At 45.2% G+C, this 9,861-nt stretch overlaps 1 annotated feature.

The window, feature by feature from the left end:
- Positions 4,900-5,194: an enhancer, noted in NCBI's record as "tiled region #13625; HepG2 Activating non-DNase unmatched - State 23:Low, and K562 Activating DNase matched - State 18:Pol2". NCBI's record gives its function as "activates a minimal TATA promoter and a strong SV40 promoter by Sharpr-MPRA in HepG2 and K562 cells {active_cell/tissue: HepG2 | K562}" and the evidence as "EXISTENCE:reporter gene assay evidence [ECO:0000049][PMID:27701403]".

Genomic DNA, 9,861 nt, shown 5'->3' with positions numbered 1-9,861 from the left:
GTGGCTTTTTTCCTCAACCGCATAGAAAATGCTGCTGTCGCTGCTGTTGCTGCTGCAGGAAAAAGGAGCAGAGACAAGCTGAGATGAGATAAATAAGAAGAGGAAGGATACTGGCTGCATCCATTGAGCACTTGGATCCATCCCTGTAACAAAAGACTCCTGACAAATACAGCTGTAAAGCTGACTAGTTCAGTGACTAGCAGCAGCAATAAGAGGTAGACACTCACATACAACATATGCACCAACAAACCAAAGAAACTGAGATTGAGGTGGATCAAGAAACCCAAACTTTGCTAAAATCAGTTGAGTCAAATATAGTTTCACTTTTCAATCTCTAGTATGTACCTCTCAAAGAATCTTTTGCAAATCAAGAAAAATGAAAAAGATTCCAAAGCCAGAAACCTAAAATAAAGAAGTGCTCTTTGTATTAATTAAGTGAATGAATGAACAAATACTCAGACTAGACTTCCTTATCATTTATTTTTAATTTTATTTTATTTTTCCTGAGACAGAGTTTCACTGTGTTGCCCAGGCTGGAGTGCATTGATCATAGCTCATTATAGCCCCAAACTTCTGGGCTTAAGCCATCCTCCCACCTCAGCCTCCTGAGTAACTAGAACTACAGACATGCACCTACCACACCTGGTTAACTTCTGTTTTGTTTTTGTTGTTTTTGTTTTTGTTTGTTTTGTTTTGTTTTTGAGACAGAGTCTCGCTCTGTTGCCCAGGCTGGAGTGCAGTGGTGTGACCCAGGTTCAAGCAATTCTCCTGCCTCGGCCTCCTGAGTAACTGGGATTACAGGCGTGAGCCACCATACCCGGCTAATTTTTGTATTTTTACTAGCGATAGGGTGTCACCATGTTGGCCAGGCTGGTCTTGAACACCTGACCTCAAGTGATCCACCAGCCTCGGCCTCTCAATCACGCTGGGATTACAGGCGTGAGCCAACATGCGTGGCCTGTTTTTGTTTTTGTTTTTGTTTTTGTAGAGACAGGATCTTGCTTTGTTGCCCAGGCTGGTCAAACTCCTGGCTTCAAGTGATCCTCCCACCTCAGCCTCCCAAAGTGCCACAGGCCTGAGCCATCATGTCCAGCCTCCTTATCATTTCAATTGAGGGCACTTAGAAGAAATAACTCACAACATAGAAGATGACAAATCCGTCATCTCCAAATGTGACATGGAATTCAAATAGGCCTCACGTTTTATTGCTGAAAGACACCTTAGAGATCAGAAAACCAAGACCTAGAACCTACAACAAGCTAATAGATCAATAAAAGTACACAGCATGGAGGTGCCCAGCCTCCTACACGGTCTCATGTATACACAGGTGCTATCTGGCAACAATTAAATACTGAGCACAGACATGATGTGGAAGAGGGATATCCCACAACCTTGCCTTCTTCGTTTGTGTATTTGGGGCACTGGCTTGCAGCAGTGCCACTTTCTTTGGTGTTGGTCAACTAGAGCCTTAAGGCTTTTGGAAGCTACAGCCACAAGGATCGAGAAAGCCTACTTTTATTCTACAGATACTTTCACAATGGTTTGCAAAGATTTACACTATATATATGTATATAGTATATAAACAGTATATACACACATACATTTATAGTGTATATATACTGTACATCTATAATATATACTATAGATACAGTATATACCACATATTGTATCTATACATATACTGTATATACAGTAGATATAAGGTTGATACTATGATATACTGTATATACTATAGATTAATAGTATATATACTATATAATATATACTGTAAAGATTTATAGTACAGACTAAATCTGTATATATACTGTAAATATATATGTATATGTGTATATTACATAGGTATCACATATACATATATACACACATGCATATATACATATTTTTGTTTTACAAAAAACGAATATGTAACCCTAAGATTCCATCTCATGCCCCTGCCTTCCCCTACTTAAGTTATCCATTATTTTGAATCCCTTGCTTCCCTTTTATATACTGTCTTTGCATCTGTATGTAATCTCAAATTTTATTTTTATTCATTTTCGTTGCTTTTACTTTTATAAGAGTATCATAATGAATATCATCTTTTGGGACCTTTCTTTATTTTTTTCCACTTCATAGTGTATTGATAATCTTTGTCCATATTATCAAGTCATTGGAGTTCACCTGTTTTGACTCTTGTATAGTGTTTCATTGCACAGATAATATCAGAGTTCATCCATTTCATTCTTCTCTTGATGGACATTCGGTCTATTTCCAAGTTTTGGATCTTGTGGAGCAAAAGTTTTTTTATCTAATACTTCTCTTAACATATAGTACATGTTAATACTATTAGCCTGTTTTCACACTGCTATAAAGAAATACCTGAGACTGGGTAATTTTATAAAGAAACGAGGTTTAATTGGCTTACAGTCCTGCAAGCTGTACAGGAAGCATACATGCTTCTGGGGAGGCCTCGGGAGCCTTACAATCATGGTGGAAGGTGAAGGGGAAGTAGGCACATCTTACAGGGCCGCAGCAGGAGGAAGAGAGAGAGGGAAGACGCTACACACTTTTCAATAACCAGGTCTCAGGATAACTCACTCACTCACTGTCAGCAGAGCAGCACCAAGGGGATGGTGCTTACTCATGCATGAGAACTCCATACATATGATCCAGTCACCTCCCACCAGGCCACCTCCAACACCGGGGATTACAATTCAACATGAAATTTGTTGGGGACATAGACCTAACCCATATCAACATGTCATATTTTACAATAGCCTGTAGGTTATTTTCTTTTTTTTTTTTTTTTGAGACGGAGTCTCACTCTGTCACCCATGCTGGAGTGCAGTGGCACGATCTCAGCTCACTGCAACCTCCACCTCCTAGGTTCACGCCATTCTTCTTCTTCAGCCTCCCAAGTAGCTGGGACTACAGGCGCCTGCCACCACGCCCAGCTAATTTTTTTTTTTTTTTTAGTAGAGACGGGGTTTCACCGTGTAAGCCAGGATGGTCTTGATCTCCTGACCTCGTGATCCGCCTGCCTCATCCTCCCAAAGTGCTGGGATTACAGGCATGAGCCACCGTGCCCGGCCTGTAGGTTATTTTCAAAGTCCTAGTTTTCATTCTGGATGGTGGGATCGTGGGTCTTTATTATATTATTAAAACTCGTTAACTGGCCGGGCACGGTGACTCATGCCTGTAATCCCAGCACTTTGGGAGGCCAAGGCGGGCAGATCCCCTGAGGTCAGGAGTTCGAGACCAGCCTGGCCAACATGGTGAAACCCCATCTCTACTAAAAATACCAAAAATTAGCCGTGTGTAGTGGCGGGTGCCTGTAATCCCAGCTACTCAATAGGCTGAGACAGGCGAATTGCTTGAACCCGGGAGGTGGAGGTTGCAATGAGATGAGATTGCACCATTACCATTGCACTCCAGCCTGGTCAACAAGAGTGAAACTCTGTCTCAAAAAAAAAAAAATTAAAACTCGCTAACTAACTAAATAAAAGCAAGCCATACATGGACCAATGACGCCAGTGTGTCATGACTAATCTAATTCTATACACCCGAGATCCAGAGAGAAAAATAAATCAGGAAAATATTATATATACTGTGATATGCCCTGTATTTTGTCTTAGAATGCTTGCTGTATCAGCACATCTAGGCCTATTTCACTTTTAACTGTTGCAGAATATTCTGGTAATGGACATAATATAATTTAAAATTTTTTAAATTTTATCTTGGAAAATTTCAAACATATTCAAAAGAGTGAATGGAACTGGATGAGCCCAGTTTCACTAATTATTAACATCTGGCCAGTCTTGCTTCAGCTTTTCCCCCATACTGTCTCCCTCCCTCCCCCTCTGCATTACTTTAAAGCAAATGTAGGCTATCATTTCATTTGTCCATAACTCCTTCTCTGTTGGTGGATGCAGGTTGTTTTCACTCTTTGGCTTCTACAAACACTGCTGCAATGAACGTCCTTGAAAATACAGTGAAATTATATATATATATATACTCCATATATATGTATATAAATATTTATATATTTTTCCTGGGATGGTACAGAAGAAACTTACCAGAATTATTTGGAAAAAAAGGAAAACTAGAAGTCAGGAATAAGAGATCAAACATATTAAAACCCTTTCTCTTATAGTGACAGAAAGCCATCTCAAATTGCCTTAGCAAAACAGATAATTTAGGCCGGGTGCAGTGGCTCAAGCCTATAATCCCAGCACTTTGGGAGGCCAAGGCAGGTGTATTACCTGAGATGAGGAGTTCAAGACCATTCTAAGCAACATGGTGAAACCCCATCTCTACTAAAAATACAAAAATTAGCTGGGCATGGTGGCGGGCGCTTGTACTCCCAGCTACTCAGGAGGCTGAGGCAGGAGAATAGTTTGAACCCGGGAGGCGGAGGTTGAAGCGAGCCGAGCTGGAGATCTTGCCACTGCACTCCAACCTGGGCAACAGAGTAAGACTGTCTCCAAAAAAAAAAAAAAAAAAAAAAAAAAAAGGTGCCAGGTGCGGTGGCTCACGCCTGTAATCCCAGCACTTTGGGAGGCTGAGGCGGGTGGATCAACTGAGGTCAGGCGTTCCAGACCAGCCTGACCAACATGGGAGAAACCTCGTCTCTACTAAAAAGACAAAATTAGCCAGGCATGGTGGCACATGCCTGTAATCCCAGCTACTTGGGAGGCTGAGGCAGGAGAATCTCTTGAATCTGGGAGGCAGAGGTTGCGGAGAGCTGAGATCGTGCCACTGCACTCCAGCCTGGGCAACGAGAGCAAAACTCCGTCTCAAAAAAAAAAAAAAAAAGCTAATTTAGTGATTTGCATAACTTCAAGGTCCAGAGATAATATATTGATAAGGTTTGGCTGTGTCCTCACCCAAATCTCATCTTGAATTGTAGCTCCCATAATTCCCACGTGTTGTGGGAGGGACCTGGTAGGAGGTAATTGAATCATGGGGGCGGGTCTTTTCCCTGCTGTTCTCGTCAGAGTGAATACGTCTCACGAGATCTGATGGTTTTATAAAGGGGAGTTTCCCAACACAAGCTGTCTTGCCTGTCACCGTGTGAGAAGTGACTTTGTTCCTCATTCGCCTTCAGCCATGATTGTGAGACATCCCCAGCCATGTGGAACTGTGAGTCAATTAAACCTCTTTCCTTTATAAATTACCCAGTCTCGGTTATGTCTTTAGCAGCATGAGAACAGACTAATACAGTAACTATATACATATATATATTTGTATATATATATATAAAATATATATATATATATTTTTTTTTTTTTGAGACAGGGCATCACTTTGTCACCCAGACTGGAGTGCAGTGGCACAATCTCAGCTCACTGCAGCCCCAAACTCCTGGTTTCAAGTGATCCTCCCACTTCAGCCTCCTGAGAAGCTGGAACTACAGGTACGTGCCACCAAGCCCAGATGATTTAAAAAAAAAAAAACTTTTAGTAGAGACAGGGTTTTGCCATGCTTCCCAGGCTGGTCTCGAACTCAAGTGATCCGCCCGCCTTGGCCTCCCAAAGTGCTGAGATTACAGGCGTGAGCCACCCTGCCTAGCTGAAGTCTAGAGATAATTTTGGGTTCAGACACTAATGGGACCAGGGGCTCAAAGATACTGTCAGACGCCATTGCTCTCCAGTTGGCTGCTCTGCTTTCCTCTGTGACGCCACTTTTCTCGTTTTTTTTTTACATGGCGGCCCCTCTCTTCCAGGCTCAGCTAATCCATGTTGCCAACACTCCTGGTGTAAAGAGAGCTCCTTTCCCCTCAGTGCCAACCCAAATCATGGGTTGACCCTCATTGGCCAGACCTGACTTATGTGCACCTTTCTGAACCAATCACTATGGCCAGGGAGATAGCCTCTGTTGATTGGCTAGACTTGGCTCATCTGCCCTTCTCTGGAGCAGGGGACCTGAGTCAGTACCTTGAAACTATATGGACCAAGCTTGGCTGATGACTGTGTCCCCTTAGTAAAGGAGGAATGGATGGCAGTCAGGCAAAACACATAAAAGCAAAAATAGACAGGGTAGTTGCTTCCTCTAAGGTCTTTTCCACCTCTCTCCCAAACCTCTGGTGGACAGGTGCTCCTCCCCCTGTTCTCCCACCTTCAGCAGGTCCCTCTTGGAGCTTGAATCATGTTGCAAAACATTCATCCATTTTTGTGCCCGTTTCCTCCTACTAGGCCATTTAACTCCCTGAGGACAAGGACTATGCCTTTTGCTTAGGCAGGTAATTAATCCCTGGCAAAATGCCTCCCATACAGTTGAATGGAACATAATGCTTCCCACACGTTCGCTAAATGAATGAATGACTCTTGAGTCTACACCAAAATAAAATCCTGGCATTCAAGGCTTGCTTTTTTCTTTACTTCTTTCTTTCTTTCTTTCCTTCCTTCCTTCCTTCCTTCCTTCCTTCCTTCCTTCCTTCCTTCCTTCCTTCCTTCCTTCCTTTCTTTCTTTCTTTCTTTCTTTCTTTCTTTCTTTCTTTCTTTCTTTCTTTCCTTCTTTTTGAGAAGGAGTCTCACTCTGTCACCCAGGCTGGAGTGCAGTGGCGCGATCTCGGCTCACTGCAAGCTCCGCCTCCTGGGTTCAGGCCATTCTCCTGCCTCAGCCTCCCGAGTAGCTGGGACTACAGGAGCGTGCCACCACGCCCGGCTAATTTTTTGTATTTTTAGTAGAGACGGGGTTTCACCGTGTTAGCCAGGATGGTCTCGATCTCCTGACATCGTGATCCGCCCGCCTCGGCCTCCCAAAGTGCTGGGATTACAGGCGTGAGCCACTGTGCCCGGCTCTTTCTTTCTTTTTCTTTCCCTCCCTCCCTCCCCTCCTTCCTTCCTTCCCTCCTAACAGGGTCTCCCTCTGTCATCCAGGCTGAAGTGCAGTAGCACCATCATAGCTCACTGCTGCCTCAAACTCCTGGGCTCAAGTGATCCTCCTGCCTCAGCCTTCCAAGTACCTGGGACTGCCATCTCAGTATGCCATCAAGTCTGGTTAATTTTTTTTATTTTTTGTAGAGATGGAGATCTCGCTATGTTGCCCAGGCTGTTCTTGAACTCCTGGTCTCAAGCCGTCCTCCCACCTTGGCTTCCCAAAGTGCTGGAATTGCAGGCGTGAGTCACAGCGCCTGGCCTCAAGCCTTTTTCTTAACTGGGCCCCGAACTACACCTCCTGCCTCTTCTGCACCTTCCATGGCCTATAGATCACCCACCCCCTCAAACATACCAGGCCCTTTCCTACCTCTGAGCCCTCATCCTGCTATTCCCTCAGCTTGACTGCCCTCCCTGATACCCCAAGTGTTCATGATGGAGGAATTGGGAAGGTTGATCACAAGACCCTGCAGTTGAAATTCCTGTCACAGAAACCTTTTGACTAGTCTACTTAACTTCTCAGGCCTCCACTTTTCTTCAAACTAGTCCACACATACCTGAAACTGTGTTTGAATGAAATGACCCTCCCTCTCTCCCTTGCTATAGTTGGTATAGTTGCTATACCAACTTGCAATAGTTGCTTCTTCTGGCTGAAGAAGTCAGAAGGAGGGTGCTAGTGAGTTGATGGGTGTTTGTGGAGCTGGGAGGCTTGGGGAGGCTGTTTCCTACTAGTAAAATGATAATAGCAACTTGGGTTTTATTGAGCATATATTATGTGCCAGGCACTGTGCCAATGGCTTTGCCCATGTTTTCTCCTGTGATCCTTACCTGGGGACTGTGGTATCCCTGTTTTGTAGGTGGGGAAGTAGGCTTGCCTGAGATCACAGAGGTAATAAATGGTGAAGCCAGGACTGGACCCAGATCAGATGCCAGAACCCTTGCTCTTAACCTTCAAATAGAGGGAAGAATAAAATAAATCTTCCATGAGAAGTAGAATTGGGAGACTCTATGGTCCCAGACAGGGTCAGTGGCTGCCTTGCCTCCTGATGGCTTTGCTGGACCTGGCTCCTGTCTTTCAGGAAGTTGTGCTTCCTGCCCTTAAGTTCCTAAACACATCCTTGAACCCTAACAATTTCTTCCCCTTTCTGCAAAAGCCAGCTCCTGTTTATTTTTCTCCACCACTGACAAGCTGTGTGGCCGAGGCAAGTTGCTCTCCCTCTCTGAGCTTGGGTTTCCTTGTCTATGAAATGCAGGCAATCCTTGCCCTACCTCAGAGGCATGAGAATTACATGAGATGATGGATGGGCCGTGGTGGGCCTGGAGACAGGCATGGGCATGCTCACAATGGCTGTGAGCTCGTATTCCCCCAGCTCCAAGCTCAGGTCAGACTCTGAGCCTCTTCATGCATCTGTTCCCACAGCACCTGGCACGAAGACTTGCTTATAGAAGGTGCTCACCAAATGCTTTCACTCACTTACAGAAGCCATGAGTGGCAGCCACTTCTGATATTCAGGAGTTCTTAACATCCCCGTGGCTCTTGAATCCTGGTGCTAGAGATATGGCCTGCACTCCTGTTTGTTTCTTCAGTGAGTTAATGATTTACCTCCTGTGTTAAATTTTGTTTAAACAGACATGACCCCGTTGGTGGCCAAGGCTCTGTCCCGTCCAAAGTGTCTCAGGGATCAAAGAAGCCCAAAGACACAGGACCCCTCCCACTGCCCCATTCCAGAATTGTCCTTTAGCCTGCTGGCATCTGCCTCTGCACCATGGTCTCTTCATGTTAGCCACCTTGCTTGTAGCCATGCTCTAGCCAGAGGCCCTTAGCCTCCTCTGAGAAGAGTCTGCCTCTCTCCAGGCCACAGCATAGCCATGTGCCCCCGAGGGCCCTGTTGTCCTTACCGCCATCACTATCTTTCTTCTTTCTTTCTTCTTTCTAAAGAAAATAGTGAAGGTAGAGACCCCATCCTCCTAGCCCTGGGGGAATGGACCTGCCTATGAGTAAGAGGACTGCCCTGCTCCTGGTGCGTGTGGGAGGTGAGCACGCCTCATCCTGCTACATGCCTGGTCTTCTCCAGCCTCTAGTCTGGGCTCCCTGTCCCCTGACTTTGCTGCTCCCCGCTCCAGCTTCCTGCCTATTAGTATTTTCCCAGGGCTGCTGTAGCAAATTACCACAAACTTGGTGGCTTAAAACAACAGAAATGAGGCCAGGCACAGAGGCTCACACCTGTAATCCCAGCACTTTGGGAGGCCAAGACAGGAGGATCACTTGAGCCCAGGACTTCGAGATCAGCCTGCACAACATAAGGAGACCCTGTCTCTGTTTCACAGTTCCGGAGGCCATAAGTCCTAAATCAAGGTGTCACCAGGGCCATCCTCCCTCCAAAGACTAGAGGATGCTTCCTTGTCTTTTTCAGCTTCTGGTGGCTGCCAGAGTTCTTTGGCTTGTGGCTCCCTCACTCCAATCTCTGCCTCCATCTTCACATGACTTTCCCCTTGGCTCTGTGTCTTTTCCTCCTGTGTCTATTATGAGGACAGTTGTCATTGGATGTAGACTCTACCCAGGTCATCCAGGAGGATCTCATCTGGAGATCACTGACTTCATTTTTTTTTTTTTTTTTTTTTTGAGACAAGAGTCTCGCCCTGTTGCCCAGGCTGGAGTGCGGTGGCATGATCCTTGCCCACTGCAGCCTCTCCTTCATGGGTTCAAGTGATTTTCTCACCTCAGCCTCCCAAGTAGCTGGGACTACAGGCGTGCACCACCACGGCCAGCTAATTTTTGTATTTTTAGTAGAGACGCGGATTCACCATGTTGGCCAGGCTGGTCTCAAACTCCTGGTCTCAAGTGATCCGCCCGCCTCAGCCTCCCAAAGTGCTAGGATTACAGGCGTGAGCCACCGTGCCCAGCCTAATTTCATACTTTTCCCAAATGAGATCACATTTACAGATTGTAGGCAGACATATCTTTTGGAAGGGCCACCTTTCAACCCACTGCAACTAGTATCAA

Source organism: Homo sapiens, chromosome 22 (genome assembly GCF_000001405.40).
Source record: "Homo sapiens chromosome 22, GRCh38.p14 Primary Assembly".
NCBI lineage: Eukaryota > Metazoa > Chordata > Mammalia > Primates > Hominidae > Homo > Homo sapiens.
The sequence above is the reverse complement of the archived record's forward strand: the minus strand, read 5'-3'. Positions and strand labels throughout refer to the sequence as shown.